Source organism: Homo sapiens, chromosome 2, assembly GCF_000001405.40.
Source record: "Homo sapiens chromosome 2, GRCh38.p14 Primary Assembly".
Classification (NCBI taxonomy): domain Eukaryota; kingdom Metazoa; phylum Chordata; class Mammalia; order Primates; family Hominidae; genus Homo; species Homo sapiens.
The window spans coordinates 54364486-54389837 of NC_000002.12; the positions used below are offsets into that span (position 1 = coordinate 54364486).

Below are 25352 nucleotides of genomic sequence, written 5' to 3' on the forward strand. Positions count from 1 at the left end.
ACTCTTATAATAATCCTATGAAGCAGGGCAAATAATAATTGCATTTCACAGCTATTTACAGAGAACATAAATGATTTCCCCAAGTCTGCAGTTAGCAAGCAACTAGGACCAGATCCAGAGTTTCTCAATAACCGGTCCATTAATTCCCAGATGTTAACCAACAGGGCAATGCTGGCCCATAACAAATGAAAAAACAAGGATAGAATAAAGAAGTATCAAGACAAATAACTTCAATTCTTTTATTGAAGAGACTGCAACTTTACTGCATTTTGGGATTTAAAATACTCTTTGTTAGACTCCTTACTGCCTTAACGGACTACGTTGATGTTGGAAGCACCCATCATCCCGAACACAGATAAATGTAGGATAAAATATAACAGGAACATTTGAAATATACAACTAAGCACTAAAACAAGAAATTAAAATCCTCAGGTGCCAGAAATGGAGAGAACACAAACAAGCAATGAGCAAGAGGTGAGACTAAATAAGCAATTGCAGAGTTGGAATCAGAGGATGAACTTGTGGGCTGAGATTTTAATGCCTGAGCTGGAATGGGAATGGAAGCCCCAGGTGCAGTGGAGTTGGAGCTGTGCAAAGAGCCAGGATCCTAGAAGAGCTTTGCTGCTGTGAAAATAATTCTGGGTTATCTCCTCCCATTAGCCTGGGAATTAGGGGAGGTAGTAGATTCATTACCACCTAGATGACACACCTACCAAACTGAGCTATGCACAGGAGTGGGGTCCAGTGTGTATTCATGAGAAGGAAATGCAAACCAAGAAAGCAACAGAAATACTGGTTTGAACCAGGAAACTTGAAGAACCCTGTTAAAAACAAACAAGAAATTGCCCCATAGTGACAATTAATAAGCCTGCACACACGAGACAATGTGGAAAAAAATCCCAAGATGAGATGGTTAAAAACAAAAACACAAGAGGAAAGAACAAAAACTTCCCAGGAAAGGAGTTAGCAGAACTCATATGCCAAGAATTACAGACAATAGAACAGATAGACTATATAAAGTAAGTATACTTAAAATGACTCAAGACATAAGAGAATACAAAGTATACAGAAACCTCTTGCTTCTGCTCTCACCATGTGATATGCTGGCTCTGCCTTTGCCTTTGCCTTCTGCCATAATTGTAAACTTCCTGAGGCCTCACTAAAGCCAAGCAGATGCCAGTGCTGTGCTTCCTGAACAGCCTGCAGAACCATGAGCCAATTAAACCTCATTTCTTTATAAATTAAACAAAAAGTATACAGAAAGACCAGAACACCATAAAAATAGGCACATTTGGGAGGGAAGCTATAGAGATTCTACAGTTTAAAATGTCTAATTTTTAAAAAACTTAATTCAGTAGATTAAACATAGCTTAAGAGAAAATCAGTAAATTGGAAGATAGGACTGAAGAAATCTCACAAAATGCAACACAAAAAGATTTTTAAAATATTAATAGGAAGACAGAGAATAGAATGTTATTAAGAGTTCCAGAAGGATATTATACAAGGAACATGAGAAAAAATTTGAAACGAAAATGGCTATGATAGAGACTACTACTTGTTTCCCAATAGCCAGTCATTACCTCTGTCTTACTAATAAAATCACCCATTTTTAGCTGGAAATTTGGCTGACCAGAATAAAGACAGTATTTCCCAGCTTCCCTTGTAGCTGGGTTGACTATATTACTATGTTCTGGGATATAACCAGAGCAGCATGTGCAACTTCTAAAAATGTCCTTGAAGGGAGGATGTAGGCACTATTTTCTTTCTAGTAGCTGGAATTCAGCTGTGATAGTTTAAGGTTTTAGCCATCTTGCTTAAAATGGAGAAGCAATAAAATGCAAGGATCCTTGAGCCCCTGACATCATCAAACACACCTGGATGGCCTAATCTGTATGAGAAAGAAATAAACTTCTATCTTGTATAAACTACTCTGATTTAGGATTGTTGTTTTCTTTAATCGCTTGTAGCAAATTCTACTCCTAACTTATACAATGATTGAGCATTTTCTAGGATTAAAGAAAGATGTGAGTTTTCAATCTGAAGGGGAAAAATCAATTTTGAACTAGAAAAATGAAATCCAGACATAGACGCATAATAGTGAAACCACAGAATATCACATCTAAAGAGAAAAACCTTAAAAACAAATCAGAGATAAAAGAGCTCTTACCTATAAAGGAAAGACAACCATAATGTCAGCAGACTTCTCATCCACAACAATGGATGCAAGGCAGCAATGGAGTAATATCTCAAAAATACTGAAAGTAATAATGGTCAACACAGAACTCCATGCTAAAATAAACTATAAGAATGAGGGTAAAATATGGACATCGTCTGACATACACAGATTAATAGTAATTGCAAGCACTTAGATAATACTTATATAACTGTACAAGGTACTATTCTCAGTGCTATATAAATATTTTAACTCAGTAATCTCCAAAACCTCTGAAGTAGATAGTGTTAATATAACCATCTTAGAGATGATGAAACTAAGATACAGGGAGGTTAAGGTAACTTACCCAAGGTCACCCAGCTAGTAAATAGCCAAATTGGGATTTAAGCCCAGGCATTCTAAACTAGACTCCATGGTTTGATTAATCACTGTGCTTCATCATTTCCATGACTAATCGAGTTAGTTACTCACAGATCTTCACTGAAATATTAAAAGATGTCATTTAAAACATTTATATTAAATCTAGACAGAAAAAGTTAGGATGTAAGCAGAAAAGCAAGGCAAATAAATCAGTAAATCACACTGATTAACCTATATATTAACTATGAGGATGTTCTTTCATGAAATTATTCTGATAATAGATTCTAGGGGACTTTTTCCCTTATAGTTTCTTCATTTGGCAAAATATATATATCTGACAACCCTATGTCAGTTCCCCCAACCTCCAAAAAAAATTGGTAATTTTCCTGGTCTGTGAAATTCCAAAATCTGGAAACTATTGGTTTGATCTATTGTGAAACAGGATTTTTTTTGAAAAAGCAAATTTGCAAGGTTTATTACTGTATCATACAAAAATATATATATTTATTGGTAATTGGGTATTTGTATTCATGATGTAGGGAGGACAGGCAGCATGAAACCATTAGTCAGAATTGCTATTCTCTAAGGAACATGGCCCTAGGAAAGGGTATGCTATAAATCAAATGTAAAAAAGGAGAAGAAAAACCCTTTCCACCACAGAACTTCATTGCCAACTTAAGATTTATGGAGAAAATGCTTTTGGTCAGTAAAATATATCAGGATGCTCTATAATATTTCAGCCAGGAAGGCAGAGTCCGGTGCTATTCTATGGCCACAAAGCCAAAGATGGATTTCAAGAGATAGAGAAAATATGTTACTTTTTACTTACTTGCAATATTTTCTTTATTACAAAAATTTCTTCAAATTACTCTGTAAACTTTTTGAAGTCTGTAGATTGAGAAAACATTAGTTTTAATCTTAAGTAACCTTATAGGTCACATAATTTCCTCATTATCTAGTCAACCTTACACTAGGAGACATCCCCCAAAAAATGGTCCCCAGAGTTCTAGCTCTTTGTTTCACAATCATAAGCAAAAAGAGTTGAAGAAACTTATGACCTAACACAATTTTCATGACTAGAATATTAATTGTAGCACTAACAGAAATTGAATTTCCACATTTGGTTCTTCTGTAAAAACAATTTCATTTGTTTGCTTTTGCTTTTGTTTCTTTACAGTAGTTTCATCAGCAGCTTATGTATTTTGTTGTGGTAGGAGTTGTGGATAGTGGGAAGGTACTTTTAAACATCAGTCAATAAAGTTAAAATTTCTTTGAAAGCCATTAGATAGCCTATGATGTCTGGTATACATGGCTTTGTGTACAGTAATTCTTATATGCACTAGAAAATAACACTGAGCTAGAAGGACAAAAGGAAAAGCCCTGTCAGATGTCTGCTTGCAGTCTCCTCCATTGGGTTTCAATATGAGATTTCCATAACCCTAGTGCATGCCTATGCAATAAAGGATTAATCTGGCCCAAAGAGAGGTCTGGCCTTTGCTCTTGGATCCTGTGAGGTAACTTCTAAGACCTTGGAATGTCCTGCGTGAGAAGAGTGTCTTTGTTTACTTGGGGGCATTGAGCCATGCCAGATAGTCAGTGTGATTTATGGTGAGGGGTCTTGGGCCACATGGCATCTGCTTGACCTCCAGAGGGACTGGAGACTGAAGTCAGCCACACAGCTGTCAACCATGTCTTATATGACAAAGTCCAATAAAAACTCTGGACACCAAGGCTCAGGTAGTTTCCCTGATTGGCATTACTCCATGCCATGTATCATCACACATTGTTGTTGACAGAAGTCAGCACTGTCCACAATTCTGCTGGGAGAGTACAACTGGAAGCTCATGCTTGGAATTCTCTCGGACCCTGCCCTATATGCCTCTTTTATTTGCTGATTTTTAATCTGATTCTTTTACTGTAATAAACCATAATAATGTATACAAGAGCTCTGGAGTGAGGGAGTGAGTTCTGGGGTCCTTCTAGCAAATTATCAAACATGAGGGTGGTCTTGGGGACCTCACGCTTGAATTGGTACTGCATGCATCGTATGCACAAAGCATACCAGGCCACAGGAGCCTGCAGCCATCACACTGGGTCACAGGACAATTTTCCTCTCATGACAAGCACTTAACTCCTCAGTTACCAAAACACTGCGAAAGGCAAAATGTGTCAGGAATTTGTGTGTGGGGGTGTGTGTGTATTTGGTGTGTATGTGTGTCTGCCTGATGTGAAATGAACCTGGACTTACAGACATTTTGACTCATACCATCTAACAATAATCTTAGGAGGCTAAAAAAAAAATCCTTTACATCACTGGGGAGACAGCTTAGACCAAACGCTGAAAAATCTGGTTTCTAACCCTACGGCAGGTCTTGGAGCAGTTCATCTCATCTACATGAACATCAGTTTTCTAGTCCATGAAGCAAGAACAATTAGAGCAACTCTACTTGGGTTGTGGGTCATCTTAAGGATCACATTAAGAAAGAAAACTGATTTGAAAGTGCTTTAGAATTTGTAAAGCAACCAGATAGATGTACAGTTTCATTATCTCTTCACGAGCCCATGAAAATTTTCACTGGCAAATCAAAATGGTTGTTTAAATAACCAGGCCAATTCGTTGGTTACAGCAAAGCACTGTTTTGAAAGGAGGAAGAAGACTACTGAGTGCATTTGTTTTCTGATATATGATTTCCCAGGCCACAAGGTAGTTTGTAAACCAATGCCATGCTGACATTTTTCATCACACCAATCACACCAAAGTTGCTAGAGTTATTAAAAGAATTCAGTGAGGGGCATGAAGGGCATCCCCACTGCAGAACAGCCAAGTGAGATGTTCCTTCCTTCACCTTGCTTCTAACATTATTGCTGGGGAATTCACACAGTACAAAAACATAGAGTAATTCCATACTACTTTAGTCCTATATTTTGGTCTTGCCAACTATTAAGAAAAAGAAGTCAGCCAGGTGTAGTGGCTCACACCTGTAATTCTAGCACTTTGGGAGGGCGAGACAGGTGGATCACCTGAGGTCAGTTGAAGACCAGCCTGACCAACATGGTGAAACCCCATCTCTACTAAAAATATAAAAATTAGCCAGTTGTGGTGGCTTGTGCTTGTAATCTCGGCTTCTCGGGAGGCTGAGGCAGGAGAATCACTTGAACTCAGGAGGTGGAGGTTGCAGTGAGTCAAGATTATGCCACTGCACTCCAGCCTGGGCAGCAGAGTAAGACTCTGTCTCAAAAAAAGAGAAAGGAAAAAGACAAGAGAAAGAAAGAAAGTCAAAATTACATTTTCAGAGAAGGAAGCAGGAAAAAAGTTAAAGCTCCCTGCCACCTTTACAAGAGTGTTGTGGAAATTATAAAATGTTACTCATAAAAAGTACCTTGCAAATCCACTCAAAGGTGTATTACAATTATTTTTAGTACTAAAAAAAAAAACATGTAAAGACGACTAGTAAACTTGGAAATACAGAACTTGCCATACAGTTGACATGTTTTTTGGTTTTGCCATCCAGAGTTCTCTCAAGAGTCTGAATTGGGCAAGAACCGAAATAACTTCAAACACACAAATCTGAGTAGTTCTGCCTAGTGACTCCTAAGCTGACACTGGTTAGTTTGAACTGTGGGAAAAGTTGAAGCAGCCTGTTGATCTTTAGGAGAAAGTTCTGTTGCGGGGGCCTGCTTCCCTTGTGACATGCATGGAGAGGAAGCCTGAATGGAGGGGTGGGCTGTGACCCACCAAGGCCAGGATAGCAGAGTTCCTGACGTTCTCCTGAACTTCCTGGAAGTCTTGAGAGGTGAGACAGTCCCTGGAGGGGTAGTCTGCCCCCGTCAACTTTGGCCGTACCCAGGGTCGCCTGCCAAGTGAACTGTTTTTATTGTTAGCAAATGTCACTCCACCCAGGGCAGGATTTTCAAAGATTCCTTAGATGAATGGGAACTTCTGGTTGCTCCTTGTTTTCTGAAGTGTGTTATGACAGGCATTTGATCTGTTCCTTCTTTGTAATTCAGGAAAAATTCCTCAGGGCCTAGAGGGTGACCTTTAACAGAAAGCTACAGACACTGTTATTCCTTTCCAGGCAGTTGCAGGGCCCGATGGGTTGATAGATTAATTTTCTCACAGATGTGTCCATGTTTTTAGGCTGTTTAAGAAGAAAGAGGAAACATGTCACTGCTCTATTTCCTTGCTTGATTTTTGAACCCCCCACATGGGAAGATGGGGAGGGTTGAGAGAGGGAGGTGAAGTGCAGAGCTCAGTCATAGAGGAGACCCCAGGAAGCAAGAGGGTGTACCCTGCAGGTGCCACCACTGGGGCTGACACCCTTCACCAGGGTGCTGGCTCCTATTGGGTCTTTAGGGGGAAGGCAGGCCCATCCTTATTCCACATTCACCCACAGTCATCTTGGGCAGGCACATCTAGGCCTGGCTTCTGTTCTGGTGCGGTCCCAAGGGAATGGCCATGCATTGATGAGTTTGGTCCTCAGTTCTGAGTGGCCCTGGGGAAAGGGCTATACCCCACCCCCACTCCACACCAAAGGCAGCTGTCTGGAGTTTTCCAGCAGGGAGGCTGGGTGCCTGCAGGCATCACACCTGCTGTTGCAGTTCTCCACATCTTGCTTCTAGTAAATTTCAGACATGCCAGTGGTGGGCGAAGGCAAGGGCAGCCCAGGCGGCATCTCCTGGGAGGACAGCTTCAGTGCCAGAAACACAGTGGGTTGGCCAGGAAGCTAATCCCACAATGTGGGTGGGCACAGGAGTGGTTCCAGGCATGCTCCTGTTTGGGGAGCAGCTGCGCAGCTGTGGGAAGAACTGAGTCTATGGAAGCAGGAAAGCAGGTTTCCGAAGTCACGGCTCTGTCACTTGCTGGCTGTGTGACCTTGAGAATGCTACCTAACCCCTCCGGGTCTGGGTCCTTTATCTGTTAAATGATAATGTGAACAGCTACATCAGATGTCCTAGGAAGGAATAAATGAGATAGTACATGTGGTGGTGCTCTGACAACAATAGCTGCTAACGTTCATGGAACTATTCTATGAACTGTGTATGTTTTAGCTAGCATTCTCAGCAACCTTTTAAAGTAGGTCACTATTATTATAATCATTAAAATGGGACAGCAGATAAAGAATGTGGGGTGGAGCAGAGAGATTAAGAAACTTGCCTGTGGTCAAACTGTAACTATGCAGTGGAGCCGATCTTCAAGCCAGGTCGTCAGATTCCATGCCCACCCTCTTCATCACCAGCAATGATATTATGACGCAGGAAATGTCAGTGTTCATATTTATCATAAGGCTTCCTTCCTCCTTAGCCTCATCTTCAGTCGGTTGCTGGCATCTGCAGAGTGTACCTGTAGCCGTATTTGTCCCCTTGTTTTTATTATGTCACTCATCGTGGTGGTTGTAAAACACGGCCTCAGGCTTTTTGAAGCTCCTCCTATTGAGAGGTGGAGTCTGTGTCCCCTCTGCGAATCTGGGCAAGCTTGTGACTGCTTAGACCAACAGAGCAAGGCAGGAGTGATGACAGGAGACTTCTAAGAAGAGGTCATAAAAGTCCACCATGTAAGAAGTTTGACTACTCTGGGGCTGCTGTGCTGTGAGGTCATGCCAACCAGCAGTCTTGGCAGAGTCCAGCCTGCACTCTTCCCCAGGGTGCCAGGCACATGAGTGGAAAAGTCATCTTGGAAGTGGCCCTTGCAGCTCCAGCTCTTCTTCAGACCCAGCCACTTGAGCCCAGTCTTTTTAGCTAAGGCCCCAGATTAAGGAGGAGGGACAAGTCATACCTACTGCATAACAAAGTGGTGGTGTTTGCTGCTCTGTTTGGGGTCCTTTATTGTACTGCAATAGCTAACTGGCACTCTTGGTATGTTTCAAACCAGGGTCATCTCTACCTCCTACGTTTCCCCTCGTATAGTTCTGCTTTCCAGTTAATGGTGTCTTAGGTCACCAATGGGTCCCTCTGAGTCCTCTTTTCCATTCCCACTGCCCCGCCTTCCATAGTTCAGGACCTTACCACTCCCCTCATCCACAGGCAGTGGTCTCCTACTGACCTGAATTCACCTTCTCACACCCTGTCCCTTCTCCGTACTGCAGCTGGAACTGGTCTTTCCAGATGCACCTGAGTAGTATCCATCTCAGCCTTGCTTAAAATTGTGTAAGGGCTCCCCATGGCTGCTTGAAGGAGTGACACAACCTTCACAGTCGGGCAGCCCCTCTCCAACCAGCCACGCTCCAAGCCCAGCGCTGGCTGCTCAGTCTTTCCGGAACCTGCCGCGCATGCTTGTGTTTCTTTCCTTCCTCATGCTGCCGCCTGGGCTGCCCAGGCCTTCACACCCCCCATGGCTGTAACTTCTTACTCTTTCTCCAAGGCCTAGTGCCGATATCACCCTCTCAGAAGCTCCCCCTCCAACCCCGCAGCACAAATAAATGCTCCTTCATGGCCATCCTATCCTTCCCTGGTTTGTGTGTCGCTTTTGCAACACTTCCTGTCTCTATACTTGTTCCAGGGCTTGCCAGGTAGCCTTCCTGGGATATAATACGTGCCCTGCAAATGCTTCTAGGAGCTCCTCTGCTGCTGCCCTCAGAGAGTAATCTTCACCCTAGTATAATTAGTCTTCTTAAATTACAGCCCCAACACTTTGCCTCCTCCTCAAAAACTGTAGGTGGCTGCCTATTCAATAAAGACACAACTCCTTGGCATGGCATCAGTGACCTCCACCTATGTCCTTGGGCTGAAGGAGGCTTGAGTAATGGCCAAACAGTGGAAGTCTCCCAAAAAGTCAGGTGAGTTAGGGCTTTGCCTGCTTCTGTGCTGCTTCCAGCCCTCCCATCTCTTCCCTGCACCTGTTATTCTCCAGCAGGGCATCATCCTTGGTTTATGAATTTCTGCTCACATATTTATCTTCCTAATAGTCTGTTTCTCTTAGACAGAGTCTATTCTTCCCTTCCTTTATTCTGCCATTAAGTCTCCACATCAAGTCCCATGAATGCCCATGAGGTCATATTTATTCCTGGCTATTAAAATGACAAATTCACTTTCGTTATTATGTACTGCCTAGCCAATGGCACCCAGACTCCTGAGGTCAGCAGTGCCGTTTCTTACCTCCTTAGCCTGTACCGTACTGTGCAGCATGCCTGCCATGTTCCTTTCTCTCTTCTACTCCATACTCTCCATAGTAACTGATTTTCCCATTTTATCTGAGCATGTCTTGCCCTACTCTTTAATTCTTACAGATGGAATCCTAACATGCTGAAAATGGAAGTCTTTTTTTCTTTTCTTTTGTTCTTTAATGAGATATTTTAAGTACTGGAAAAGTGCTGGAAGTCCTTTTCAAAACAAGGTATTCTGAGTAATTAAATTTGAGTGATCTGATTGAGAGATGAGATTATAAAACTTGTTTGGACTTTCCTTTAGTCATGGATGGCATTTTAAAGTATAAAGAACAAACTATCTCAGGGGAAAGGAGAATTAGGATTTTAAAATTTTAAGTAAAGGTAAAATAATGCTTACAGAACCAATAATGAATCTTTCCAAATTAACAGGATAGTTTGACTCCATTTAAAGAACTTAAATATCAACCAGGTCTTCACATTTTGTTCCCTTCATAGGAATTTTATGCACATTATCCAAAATGGGTATCGGAAAGAAAAGGCTGGGATAAGCCTGAACTTGGATGTAACACAGAGGACTTAACAGATTTCTAATTCTCTTTTGTGTCTTTTTTCTTGGAAAAATAAAGGCAGAATCAGCCAGTGCTAAATTTTGCTTCTAGAGCAAATGATGAAATACACATGTCAAGGCCCCCTTTCAGTTTTCCGCTGGCCCCTCGCCCCACTCCCCTGCGTGTTTGCAGTGCACAGAAGGCTCCGTGCAGCCTTCCCCACTGCATTTTCTTCCCTGATCTGCAAAAAGCATTTATTAATCTTACTGGAGAATTATTTTTCTGTTTTGCTTCACACATAATAGAATATCTAGTGCAGTATTAATAAATGCTGGGTACCTTTTTATGACATTAATTCTTCAAACTTTTAAGGCTTCTTTTTCTCAAGGGTTTCCAGCTACCTTACCAGCATTTAAAAATATCCCAAACAAGACCCCAAACCCAGAAGCTGTGAAGGAACAGAACAGCAGGTTTATCTACAAAAGAATGTAAAGTGTTGACATAGCAAAAAATGTAACTTTAATAAAGTTAAAAGATAAAGGGAAGAATGGGAGAAAATATTTGTAAGATAACAAAGTATTAATATTCCTAATATATAAAGATATTAAAAGTTTTATATAAAGAGCTCATACAAATCAGTAACAAAGTTATCAAGTTAATAAGGAAAATAGCAAAGGGGCTAAACAGGCAATTCACAGAAGAAATACAGAATAAATACTGTCAAGTAATTGCAAAGGATGAACAAAATACAAATGTTCCCCTATAGTTGGGTAAAAACTGAAAAGATTGTTTATATACAATGTTGGTAAGGGTAAGGGGGAAAGCAGGTACTTTAATGTGAGAGAATAGGTACAACCTTTTAGAAGGGCAATTTGACAAAAGTTATCAAAATTGTACACGTGTATATGTTTTTACTTTACAATTTTACTCCTTGGTGTCTATGCTACAGAAATAACTATACAAGAAAACAAGAGCATATTTACAAGGACATCTATTTGCTATATTAAGTGTAAACAATTGAAGAAAACTTCAGTGTCCACAAGGGAACTTTTAAAATACATTATGATACATCTGCACAATGGAATTCTCTACTGTGCATTTGAGCATGGGCTAGATCTTCTCCAAGATACATGTGAACTAACAGCAAGTCACAAAGCTATTGATATAGGTAGTATGTTCCAATTTTTTGTTTTAAAATTTTCAAATCATATAGGGGGTGTGTGTGTGTGTGTGTGTGACGTTTTGGAAGGTTACTCACCATAATGTGACTATCCCTGGAAAGTAGAGATAAAGAAGCAACTCCCTTTTTTAGCTTTATACTCTTCAATGTTGTTTAAAATTTTTACAGTGACAAAAATTGTTTAACATTTTTGGTTTTGTTCTTGAGACAGTGACTCACTCTGTTGCCAAGTCTGGAATGCATTAGCATGAACACAGCTTACTACAGCCTCAACCTCCCCAACTCAAGCAATCCTCCTGCCTCAGCCTCCTGAGTAGCTGGGACCACATGTGCATGCCACCATGCCTGGCTGATTTCTACCTTTTTTTTTTTTGGGTAGAGACAGGCTCTCACCATGTTGCCCGAGCTGGTCTGCAACCCTCCCAAAGTGCTGAGATTACAGGCATGAGCCACAGTGCTCAGCCTGTTTTTTAATTTTTTCATGCAAACAGTTGAAGAAAAATAAAATCCAAAGACATCCTTAACTATATTCCTGTCGTCGTAAGTACCAACTCACTAAGTCTTAAGGATCCCTAAAATATCACAGTTACCTTAAAATCTCAAGTTCGCTTTGTGGCCCCTCTCTTGGGGTAGAAATTCCTTCACTGGAATAGACATGATTTTACATTTGAGGCTATGAATTTCATTTCTGACCCTCATCCCAATTACTCCATCTTACTCATTTCCAGGCAATTATTCCCATGGACATAAATCTGACCTTTGGTGACAGTCACCCAGGATAACGCACTATACACTCATTGGTGCAGTGGGCTGGCAGTGCCCAGGATGAGGAGTAACATGGAGTGAGTTAAAGAAAGCCTGCCAGACACCACATGCCACCAACTGCTGTGAATGGTGTTCACACACCTCAACAGCCAGGGCCACCACTGCTTGACCATTTGCACTGAGGCCCAGGAAGCTGAAGTATTTGGAAAAAGTATTAGCTACACACCAGGGCTTCTCCCAGCTGGGCACTGTTAGCACAAGAAATTAGTCTTGGTTTTCCTGGAGGGCAAAGGCACTACCTTCCAGGATCACTGTGAAGTTCACACAAGAGTTTGCATGCCAGGATTTTGTGAATGACCTAGTGTCCTTCTGAAGAACAGTCTTTACTTCTCACCTTAGCAGTCCGTTTTCCTGACTTCGGTTCTCTCGGCCAAGTCTCAAAGGAGAGGCTAGCACTCTTGGGCTTACAGAAGCTATTCATCAGCCCTTGTGGACTGTTTATTCCCTTACAAAGGGAATTTACGGCTCGTGTCTGCATACTCTCCATGGTGTGCTGATAAACGTTGAACCCACGCTCCCTGAAAAACAACAGCCTGATTCGTAATATTGACCAATTTCCGTCGTGTAGCTACAACTCCCATGGCTGATGTCAAGCTACCAACAAAACTTAACTGAATATCAATTGGGAAGAGATGTGTACAGTGTATAGCACCATTATATAGTATTTCTACCTCAAGAGAAGAGGCAATAATCAAGGGCAGTAAAATGATTAGGAAATAACTTGTGAATATTTATGACATTTATTTTTAACATAATTTTATTTATATAATTTATATAGTTTATATAGTTTACATACATTTATATAATTTAACTTCTAATGATAGATTTTCAGGAATTCTCAGCTGGTTGTAAAACCTAACAATTGGCTCTTGCAAGCCAATACAAGTCGGCTCCAGCACACCCCTGAGATTGCTACACTGCAAGATACTACAGACACTATTTTTCCCAGGAAAATCACAGTCATTATTTCCTTAATGAAAATCCAGCTCTCTCTGTGTTTTCAGCAGTCCATAGGTATGTTTGTGTGGCAACAGTAGGTGTCTGTATTCACAGCTCCTTGGGCTTGGCGTCGGGGCTGGAGAGTGTGTAGATGAGGAAAGGCACAGATGTTGGAGTCAAATAGACCAGTGACTGCTCTGTGTCAAGGTGTAATTTCATTAACCTTTAAGCCTTCATTTAATAATATTTATTAGCTGTGGGATTGTTGTAAAAAGAAAAAGATAAAGCTGGTAGCGAATACACTTAAAAATAGAGCACGTGTGAAGTATAAGGGTTGACATACGTGAAACACCCAGCCCAGAACAGGAGCTTAGTACATGTGAGTGCTTCTCTTTAACGTGTGCCCATAGATTCCCCCGTTAATTGGTGGGAGCTATTTAGAGAGCCCTGCAGAGCCGGGAGCATCAGGACACAGCAGGCTGAACCTAGTTCTCCTTTCCTTTTTACCAGATTTGGGAATCCAGCTGGGAAAAACATTGACTTTATCATCCTGTTACCTGGGAACAGTCAGTAGTTTAACCTTCTTAATTAGAGTTGCCATTGTGGGGCAGAAGGTGAACAAAACTGACCTGGGTTTGTGGTGATAATATTCCCCTGGGTTACCAACGCAGGATAACCAGTGCTAGTCTTTCCTGCGAAAAATCCCAGCCTCACACGGCTTTGCAGCCTCCGGAGCTTATCCAGGTGCAGGCCTGCACCTAAGCTCAACCAACAGGAGTTTAAAATAACATTTTTAAACAGGAAGTCTATTGCAGCAACTTAAATTCTTCCCTAATTAATTGGCCAAATCATATGTTTTATATATGTTAATGCATTTTTTTTAGAACATCAAAATTTTGTTTTGAAAGATATTTGGGAAAATATGCATGTGAAATTACCAAAATATTGTCTAGAAAGGAAGAAACAGAAATGCCCAGCTTTCTCAGGAAACAGAGCATATTATAATTAACAATAAAATGCAGAGGTACCGGTTCTAACAAAAATAACTAAAGCATATATAACAATTCACAAAACCATACAGAAAAAGAAGTATTCAACCAAAGGAGAAAACTGGAATGTTGTCCCCTCTACTCTGTTTAAATCAAACTCCCTTTTCAAGTCCCAGCTCGGTTCCCAAAAGCTCAAATAAGCCTCTTTGGACCCGCATGTCCTGAATTCTTACAGCTGTAGACCTTGTTATCTCTACTCCTAAGTTTGTGCTTTCGTGATGAAAGTACTGTACTACTGTCCTTTGCAGGGATTTAAAATGTCTTATTTTCACATCTTTGGTTTTTGAGGGCAGAGAACATGAACTGTAAACCTCATGTGACAGGCACGCAAGCCTCTACTTAAGCTTCACACGCAGCAGGCACCCAAACCTGTGAATGAATAATAAACCAACGAAGAAACAAATGAACGAAGCAATAAATGAATGATATTAGATATCAGCAAAAAGTAGCTTCTAGGGCTCCAGTTTCCTAGCCTGGCTTCATACAAGGAAATTACACTGATTCAACTTCAAAACAAGGCTTTTGCTATAAATGTGGTTTATTGGCCTGATCCGCTGTGACTGACATCTCTGGAAAGTGACCTGGCTGCCCCTAACAATGCCTCCTCATCCATGTGGATCATAAAACAGGCAAAAAAGGACGTCTGGGAAGCATTTCACATTTTATCCTTTGGCTTCTATTTTTTCTCCAGTTCTCACTCTTCTAGTGTTTCATAATGTGTGGTTATTAGATCACCTCATCAGATCACCTGTGGCCCTAGTTCATATGCAGATTCCTGGGCCATACTTGCAGGCTTTTGAATCAGATTCTTGGGGATGAGGTGAGATCTGCATCTCCTAGGTGATTCTTAAGTAGTCTAAGTTTCGAGAATCCCTTATTTAGGAGGGCAAAGAAAGTCCAGGCATGGTGGCTCATGCCTGTAATCCCAGCACTTTGGGAGGCCAAGGCGGGATTCCTTGAGCCCAGGAGTTTGAGACCAGCCTGGGCAACATAGGGAGACCCTGTCTCTACAAAAATTCAAAAAATTAAGTTGGCCAGGCATGGTGACTCATGCCTATAATCCCAGCACTTTGGAGGCCAAGGTGGGTGGGTCACCTGAGGTCAGGAGTTTGAGACCAGCCTGACCAACATAGTGAAACCCCATCTCCACTTAAAAAAAAAAAAGGAAGCCGAGCATGGTGGCATGTGCCTGTAATCCCAGCTACTCAGGAGCCTGAGGCAAGAGACTCGCTTGAACCCAGGAGGTGGAGGTTACAGTGAGCCGAGATAGCACCATTGCACCCCAGCCTGGGTGACAAGAGTGAAAGTCCTTCTAAAAAAAAAAAAAAAAATTAGCTTGGTGTGGTGTTGTGCACCTCTAGTCCCAGCTACTCAGGAGGCTGAGGTGGGAGGATCGCTTGAGCCTGGAAGGTTGAGGCTGCAGTGGAGCCAAGATCACTCCACTGCCCTCCAGCTTAGGCAGCAGAGCAAGACCCCATCTCAAAAAAATAAAATAAAAAAGAAGGAAGGAAAATAAATGTGTTCTGTGCCTCCTATATGCTCAGTGCTTGTATTTATGATACCTCCTTTGACGTTTACAATACCACTAAATGTATACTTTATTATTCTCTTTCACTGATGACTCTTAGACACTAATGTATTGATGAGACAAATTGCCAAAGGCTCTTCAGTGAGTTAGTACAAGCCTGGATTCCAAAGCAAATACATCTGACCGCCTCCCCATGCCGCATCCCCCAACCCCCCTGCACTGCCTCAGTTCTTCCCATGACATCACACTGCCTTCTCCCACCTGGAATGTCTTCTCATTTGCATGTATTCAAGGTTCCAGGTTCCAGCTGATTGATAACTTTCTATATTGACCCAAAGTGACCTCTGAGATGCTACTCCACAGTTCATTTGGCACAAGAGTTAAAACACTCAAAAAGCTCCTGGGAATTCCTTATCTACCTGTCGACATTACAGGGAGACCTTGTGCTGATACGCTCTCCCCTAACTGCAGGGCCACATGAGCCAGGGCTATGTGTCCTCCACACCTAGTTCCCACACTTGCCTCTGACATACACAATGTGTGCACGCACACACATGCCCACACAGACATACACATACGCATGATTACACCCATGCCTTACCAAGCATTCTGTACAGACACGTGCTACCATGGGAACATGGGCACAAAAGACGTAGTTGGTTTTCCTCTTTCCTCTACAGATATTTTCAAAACAGTGTTTCTGTGGCGATATCTTTTTTAGTCTTCTTGTTTCCTTGACTACGGGTTAAGAATGCCGAAACGCCTTGGGTGCCTTTTAGGAGGTCTTTCTCCACTGGGTTTTGTGGCTGAATGACTGTATTCCTATTTCTGAGTCAAAGTCTATTGTATTAATTATATCATTCATCTCTTTGCAGTGAAGTCTCAGAATATGCTTGCAAAAAACATCTCTCTGCCCAGGAATTTGAGATCACATTTCCCTCTTTCCTGCATCAAGCTCAAGCTGCTCTCCTGCTTTCAAGGCCTGGTCCTGCCCCACCGTTCTCTGCCCAAACCTTCCCTTGCCTTCTCTGTTCCAGACCAATGTGATATGATATTACCAACCTCTATGCCTTTGTTCATGCTGGTTCTAATCTGAGGTTCTACTCCAATTCCTAACTGACCCCCAAATGATGTTGAGCGAGTTGTTACAACTCTCTAGGCCTGTTTCTTTACTTACCATAAAAAGGCTCCACAAATCAAAGGCTACCATTTACTAAGGCTTACTTTGTACATTGCCCTAAGTAGTTTACCTATGTTTTCTCACGTTTTCTTAATACCCCTTACAGGGAACGTTACTGTTCCCATTTTCCAGATAAGGAAACTGAGACTGAGAGATGAAATAAACTGTCCAAAGGTATACAGCTAGCGAGGAACAAAGAAACGATTAGAACCTGGCTTTGCCTAATTTCAAACCCCATCCTTTCAACTACTTGCTATGCTGTTCTTCAAAGACCTTTCCAATCCTGAAATCTATGATTTTATGAGCCTATTCAGCCTTCCTCATCCTTTCACTCCTGTGCCATCTGCCCTTTTGAGGCTTGAATGACTTTTCCATCATGGGCACATTTCAGAACTCCATCTGATTTAACGCTTGATTGTAAACCATCAGACTTTTTCCCATAATTTTTCAGTGGGTGTTCTTGTCTTCCTTCCAGATGAAACCTTGAGAAAAGGAGCCAAGACTGTAACAGTGGTCCTGTGCCACAGTGCAGGAAGAAAAGGAACAGAGAGATCACGGGCATGTTTTTTTAGGTGGTTTCATGCCATCTTATTTTCTCCTTGAAATACATTCACAGTAAGTATTAGCAGTTTCATTTTTATAATGAGGAAGCTAAGGCCCAGAGAAGTTAGGTAGCTCACTCCCTAAGTGGCTGAAGAGAACTTAATAAAGTCAGTCTGATTACAAAGCACAAATTTCCTACTATAGAAATGTGAACAATGAAAGACAACAAACATTCTAATTTCCTTTCTCTTTTAGCCATTTCTCTAAATATCAGTACCATTTGGGTACTCAATACTACACAATATTCTAAATCACTATATTGTTATCAATGTCCAAAGAGCTCTAAGAGTAAATATTCAAGAGAAATTGAGAACAATAAAACTGAGCCAGTGCAGTAACATGTTTACTTATGAAAATCATTGATAATGTGGCCATTATAGATATGCCCTGAAAAGCAATATAAACAATGAAGAATTAATTATAAAACATTGCAACTAATCGAAAGATTCCATTTTTACAGTTTCTGGTGGTCCCAGCATGCCTTTCCAACCTGATCTTTAGCTACTTCATTTCACCCATGCTACAGCCATCTCATTTCCTGCCTCCATGCCCTTTTATTTTTCCACTTGAAATATCCTCTCCAGTATCTCTACCTCTTCAAATCCTACCTATATTCAAATATCACCTCTTCCCTTCAGTCTTAACCTCCTCCTTTGCATCTACTAACTAGACCCTCCACATGCTAATAAACACAGATGTTTTCTACCCCATATTCCATTCTCCTCTCCTTCCTGTGCTCACAAATAAACCACATTTCACATTCACTTAATTGGACCATGTGGCGGATTTATGCCAACAGAATGCAGACAGAAGTGATATTCATCATTTCTAGACTGTAGTGGTTTGAAAATATGTTCACAAATTCTTTGATACTACTTCTTTCAAGAAGTGGAACTTGATTCCCCTTCTTCTGAGTGGGGGTTGGACATAGTGATTCTCTTCTAATGAACAAATACGGCGGAGATGGCAGTATATGACTTCTGAGACTAGATCATAAAAGCCATTAAGCTTCCGCTTTATGTGTTCTCTCTCTCCCCTCCCTCTGCCCTCCCTCTCCCCTCCCTCCCTCTCAGATGAGGTGACTGGCTCTGTGGGAAGCCTATGGCCATGTTGTAATGACACTCAATCAGCCCAGTGGAGAGGGCCACATGGCAAGGAACTAAGGCCTCCCACCAACAGCCAGCAAAGAACTGAGACCTTCTGCCTACAGTCATGAGTCCTCTTGGAAGAGAATCTTCCCATCTCATTCAAGCCTTCAGATGACCATGGCATGGGCAAACTTTGATTGCAGTCTCATGACAGACCCAGAGCCAGAACCATCCAGTTAAGCTGCTGTTGAATTCCTGATCCCATCTAAATCATGTTAATACCTGTCATAAACAGATAACTAACAGATTAATAAGCAGCTTATATACAGGCTTAGCTACAAATCATTCCATATAATGTTTTACACAAACTGTTTTTTCCTAGTTTTGTGTTGAAGTGAATGAAGCTCTAGAAAGCCAAAGGACAGAAGGAGCCAGGACCTCTGAGTCATTTGGAGGAGTGCTACCCTAGAAAGCCACCCCTATCATGTTAAACCACAAATTTGGGACTTGTTTGCTATAGTAGATAGTGCTAATTCTATGTAATATACTCTCGTTTTTACTTCTCATAGCATTTATTGTTCTCTACCATAAATAATTATTCGCGTAAATATATTTTTTCATTTTAGTCTATTAGTTGCTTTAAAAAAAAAAAAACTACATTGCCATGGTTTGACTGTGTCCTCCAAAAGCATGTGTTGGAAACTTAATTGCCATTGTAACAGTATTAAGAGGTGGGACCTTTCAGAGGTGAGTAGGACATGAGGGCTCTGCCTGCATGAATGGATTAATGCTGTTATTTCAGGAGCGATTTTCTTATAAAAGGACAAGGTAGGCCCCCTTCACACTCTCTCTGTTGCACACTCTCTTGGCTGTCTGCCTTCTGACATGGGATGACACAGCAAGAAGGCCCTCCCCAGGTGCAACCCCTCCATCTTGGACTTCTCAGCTTCTAGAACTATGAGCCAAATACATTTCATTTCTTTATAAATTACCCAGTCTTTGGTATTCTGTTATAGCAGCACAAACCGGACTAAGACAAACATGAAATGAGAAATTACAAGACGCCTGGTGGTATGTGCTTTGCCAATGTATCTCAATTAATTCTCGCAATAAACCTCTCAAGTAAATACTATTATTACTCTGATTTTTCAGATGTGAAATATGGGCCTGGGAGAGGTAAAGTGACTTGCTCATAGCCCAGAAGAGGCCAAGCTGACAAATCTGATGATTCCTAAAGTCACGTCCTTAGCCACTCTGACATGCTCCCTCCCAGTTAGCCTTGCATCTCACATGGTGCCTAACAAAGTGTCTTACGTACAGTTGTTGGTTAATTTATGTCAGTGACTGCATGAATAAGTGAATGAAGAAACAGCAATATGTTAAAAGGGGAAATGTCATAAAAGGTCACAAAGAATCAAAAAATCCTGTTGCTCTCCAATATTTTTTCCCTCATACAAATGGCCCTTTTTACTTGTATGTCTTTGAACTTTAGGGTGCCAGTGGCTAGAACACATAAAGAGACTCATTCACTGGATGGAAAGCATGCTTAGAGAATACTAAGAAATTCTTCATAATGTCTACTTTTAGATCAAGAGCCTCAAGTGCTTCAGGACATCAAACAAATTTAGAACTTTTCTGAAAAGCCGATTCATTAAGGAAAGCTGCTGAAATCTACAGGCACCTTTTAAGGAGAGGACAGGGACATAGCGATGGGTGCCGTTTCACTAGAAACCTGTGCCCATTCACGGCCAGGCGGGGAGACTCAGAGCATGACAAAGGCTTAATTGTTCTCGCCAGAACAACATGGTAATGGAGTGAAAGAGTGGGTGCCCTGTGTACCGAGGAAAAAAGGCAGTAAATGAGTCCCTGGCAGCACCACAGCAGGTCAGCCTTAACAAAGATGGGGACGGCACTCTCTGCCAGAAAACCAGTCTCAGCAAACTTGCTGAGTTAAAACTATCAGATTTAAGCTAAAAACAACTATATTTCCAAAATATGCAGCCTGTGCACCATGGGAAAAGGAAGACTATCCGTACCTAGGGAGTAGATAAGTAATAAATAGTCTCATACTCTTTTAAGGAGAGCAATGCCCCAGGCTTCCTTTCTGATTTGCTCAGAATTGGCATTAGTCTTAAGTCATCACCCTGTCTCCACTTCAGGTTCACATTTATGTCTGTTCCAATTCTCCACAAAGAAAGCTTAAACTTTCCTTACTGAAAACTTTTTTTTTTCCTGAAATGAAAAATATTGTACTTCAACATTTAACTTTGGGGACTGAAGCAGAAGGAAAGAGACATTTGTTTCCCATGCTCACTTTTGTTTGTTTGTTTGTTTTTGACAGGGTCTTGCTCTGTTGCCTAGGCTGGAATGCAGTGATGCAAACATAGCTCACTGCAGCCTTGACCTCCTGGGCTCAAGCAATCCTCCTGCCTCAGCCTCCTGTGTAGCTGGAACCACAGGCGTGGGCCACTATGACTGGCTAATATTTTGGTTTTTTTGGTAGACATAGGGTTTCACCATATTGCTCAGACTGGTCTTTAACTCCTGAGCTCAACTGCCTTGGCCTCCCTGAGTGCTGGGATTACAGGTGTTAGCCACCATGCCTGGCTAATTTTACTTTTTTAATGTTAGAGGAGTTCATCAAGGTGACGATTATGACCACTTGGATCTTTGGGTTTTTTTTTCTATTATTGTTTCAAATAAGTTAAATATTTTTAAAAACTTTTGTAACTATAAATCTCCACCCCCAAACAACAGTTATTTTTCCCATAAACAAAACCCTTACTTCTCAGGGGAAAGTCCATTCCGTATGTGTTCCTTGGAGTAGAATATTATAGAACACCTTCACAAAACAAGAAAAGACCCCAGATTATTAGAGTTTTTTAAATTTTAGTATTGCTTAAAGTGGCATAACCATGTAATATTATTTTAAATAGATCACTGATTTCCAACTGAGGGTGATTGCCCCCCAGAGGACATTTGGCAATGTCTAGAAACATTTTTGGTTCTCATCACTGGTCGGGGATGGGGGAGGGTTGTGCCTAGTGGATAGAGGCTGGGGAGCCTGCTGCTAAGTATCCTACAGTGCATAGGACAGTCCCCACAACAAAGAATTAACTGGCCCAAAATGTCAGTGGTGCCCAGTTTGAGAAACCCTGACATAGATATAATGACTCTGTTATAGAATATACAGAAGAAGTTCACACTGAAGTTATGCTCAATAAGATGTTGGCAGGGGAAATCATTTTTTCACTGGTTGGATGACATACCAAGTGTGAGGTTGAAAATGGCCAGATTTGGGGGCACAAGTTTGTGCCCTTTCTTCTTGGACGTGCAAGGTACTTGATAAACACTGAAACAGAACTGAATCGATCCTTGATCCTATTTTCCTTTATCTAATATTTGTTGAATCTCTGCTATGCTATCAGATACATAAGGTTTTTGGGTTTTGTTGTTTTGTTTTCATAGCTCACTGCACCCTTGAACTCCTGGGCTCAAGCAATCCTCCCGCCTTTACCTCCTGAGTAAGTGGGACTACAGGCCCACTTTTAGAGACAGGGTCTTGCTATGTTACCCAGGCTGGTCTTGAACTCCTGAACCCAAGCAATCCTCCTGCCTCAGCCTCCCAAAGTGCTGGGATTACAAGTGTGAGCCATCACAATGACTAAACACAGCTTTTAAGACAGATGGTGCCTCAACCATAAGCACACCTGTTCTTTATCGGAAAGAAAAGGGCCCAGGCCATGTCTAAATACTGCAATCAGTATTTTGGTCAGGCTATGTCTCTGGAGAGCTAAAATGAAATGAGAACGAAACTGAAATGTTAAGGTACTTTTATACTAAATGTACATAAAATTAATTTCCAGTATGGGCGATTTTGTTGTGCTGTAATTATAAATAAATGTCTACCCCTTTAGGAAAGCCAAAGCCTAAAAGGGCACCAATTCAGGGGACTTACTGAAGCTAAACAAGCCAAGCAAGTTAGATTTTAGGCCTGGGACATGGGTGGGAGGGCTTCTGGTACTTTCACTTTATAATATAATGTCTAACTTGTCCCCACCCTAACCAGTTGTCTCAGGACAGGAGGTGCTCTGGGACTTCCCTTCACATATAAAATAGCCGGAAGGATGTGAGTGTGTGGTCCCAGGGGCTGGACTTGGCTCATCACTTGGAAAGGAGTCACTGGGAAAGTTCCCAAACTATCCCTCCCTGAGCAGTCATGAATCCACACTTAATTCGCCCCATCAAAGTAGGCCTCATGAAAATATTTTCCCTGAAACTTAAAAAACCTCAGCAGCATGAATTATCTCAGAAGTTATAATAGTTGTAGCATTATTGATCCATGAACAATCGAATTCTTTGAATTCGTGCCTAAGAATACAAAAGAAGCCCCTGCACTTTTTTCACAAGTCTCTGTGGAATTTCCCATTCCAACGAAATCAAGTTAGACTTTTTTATTTAGCAACAGTACCATTTCCAACCACCAATGCAACCGCTTAATAGAGTTTTGTTTATGGTTTAGCAAGATGTTTTTTTCTAATAACAACAAAAAAAAAATGCAGCTACAAAGCACTAAGCTCAGAAAAATACATTTGCAAAAACATATTGCAAATTTAATTCTCTCCTATTTTTTAGTTGCCTTTAAGGAAAGTCTTAATTGGAAGAGCAGCATTGTCACCAACTACTGTGCCAAAACCAAAGCTGGTTCAGGGCTGGCTGAACTCACTGAGCTGAGGTCAGGGCAGATGCAGCCTGTCCTCCATGCTGGGCAGGAGTCTGTGTAGGATTCTGTGTCGGTCCATCCTGGTTGTGAGTGCTCCTAGTTCACCCTGCCACCCACTTCTAACAGTCTTAGCTTAGAGCCCACCTCCAGTCCTACAGGTGCCCAAAGCCCTAGTCAGGGTCCAGACCCTACAGTCTTTCTCAAGGTTTGAGGTGCGCGGGTCTGACCCAGAAATACCCCAGACCCTTTGGAGCTGTGGGAGTAGTTGCAGGGTCCAGGACCCATCAAACAGTCCCCGATCGATCCACTAGCTACTCACATCCAAGGGCTTTGACTAGAACCAGAAAAATTACAGGAATGCAGCAAACCATCTGCCTGGATGCATTCAGCCCTGGGTCAGTCACAATAGGTGTTCAGAACCCCTGGTTCTATGCAATCAATCAAAGACAGACATCTTCCACTAAGAACTGAAATCTCGGCAGGCTCACTGGCTTTAAATCACGCCTGTGTCACTCTGGAGCTATGGAATGAGTTAAACCTCAGCATGCTCCTTGACTTTAACTCATTCCAGTTTCTCAAATGAGAACAAAGAAAACATCAGAAGATATCCATCAACAGTGGAATACTCTCCACACTTGGCTAAGCATTGTATCTTCACACTTAACTCAGAATTTCCCTTCGCTTTCAGGTTTAATGCAAATCCTTTGTTTGGTTAAATGATGGCACACATATTTGGTTTTTTATTTATAATGTACTGGGTCTACGGTGGGGGAGGCAGTGTCTGAAGTTCTTTATAAATACTAATGTATTTATTTGTGTATTTATGTGTATATTTATAAAATATACATATAGTATGTACACTTATGACAAAATGTACACATCAAGGGGTTGCATACATTCAAACACATTAGATTCTTTGTGACTGAATTTATTTTGTAATATTTTTCATTGCTGAATATGTGCCTATTTTAAGAAAGTAAAGAAAACAAAGTTTTATAAAGAAAAAGTGAATAATCCTGTTGTTCCCTTCCAACATCCTCCTGAGGTAACAGCAATGTTTTCTAGTGTTTACCAATGTGTGGGATAAGCCTTCTGAAAGGAGTTATTTTTTAAAAGTTTTAAAAAAGAGGCGGGGCACGGTGGCTCACGTCTGTAATCCTAGCACTTTGGGAGGCCAAGGCGGGCGGATCACAAGGTCAGGAGATCGAGACCATCCTGGCTAACACGGTGAAACCCCCTCTGTACTAAAAATACAAAAAATTAGCCAGGCATGGTGGTGGGCGCCTGTAGTCCCAGCTACTCGGGAGGCTGAGGCACGAGAATGGCGTGAACTTGGGAGGCAGAGCTTGCAGTGAGCCAAGATTACGCCACTGCACTCCAGCCTGGGAGACAGATCGAGACTCTGTCTCAAAAAAAAAAAAAAAAAAAAAAAAAGTTTTAAAAAGAAAAGTGTCAAAGCAAACTGAATACAACACGATAAAAAAAAAAAACATTATTTCAAGTAAAAAGAGAAAGAAATAAAGTAGGAGACAAAAGATTCATTTCCTCAACATAGAAAAGGGGTAAATAGCATGGCTGCAGTTGAATTTTTACATTAATGCAGTTGAGGAAGGAATGAAGAACAAACTGCAAGTCAGTGTAGACCTGGGAGGATGGCAGAGAGAACGATTTGAAATTGTAGGACTTTCAGAATTGATTGGTGACTTTTCATGGTTATCTAGAGATAGCAAGCACCTAGGAGATCCTTTCAACAGACATTTCCTCTCAAGAGTTTTTAGTCCATGCCCTTTTGAAATTAGATCAATGAACTTCTGTTCATATACCATAAGGACCCCCGAGATTGCATTTGAACATTCTGCCAAAGCGAAAAGGACATCTCGTCCCTCTTTCCTGGAGAAAGGAACTGAGTGTCCTAAAGGGAATTCTGGAAACTGTTTGTCCACTAAAACCCAGCATCTTCCGAGAGCCTATGTTCTCCCCTGTGATGCACGCAGGCAACATTTGGCTCAACCTTCAAGAAGGCTTCAAAGCTGAGGGAAGCTCACAGGTGCAC

General features: G+C 41.4%; 1 protein-coding gene across 2 annotated transcripts in view; it reads left to right on the plus strand.

Annotated features, from left to right (window-relative positions):
- Positions 1-19708, plus strand: part of CIMIP6 (ciliary microtubule inner protein 6) — a 53310-nt gene extending 33602 nt beyond the window's left edge. Inside the window, exons 7-8 of one of the 2 annotated variants that reach the window (XM_047443325.1) lie at positions 17361-17500; positions 18562-19708. The gene's annotated coding sequence lies outside the window, so the exon portion shown is untranslated. The remainder of the gene's footprint in view (positions 1-17360; positions 17501-18561) is intronic. The other variant, XM_024452687.2, reaches the window with a different exon arrangement.
- The last annotated feature ends 5644 nt before the right edge of the window (positions 19709-25352 follow it).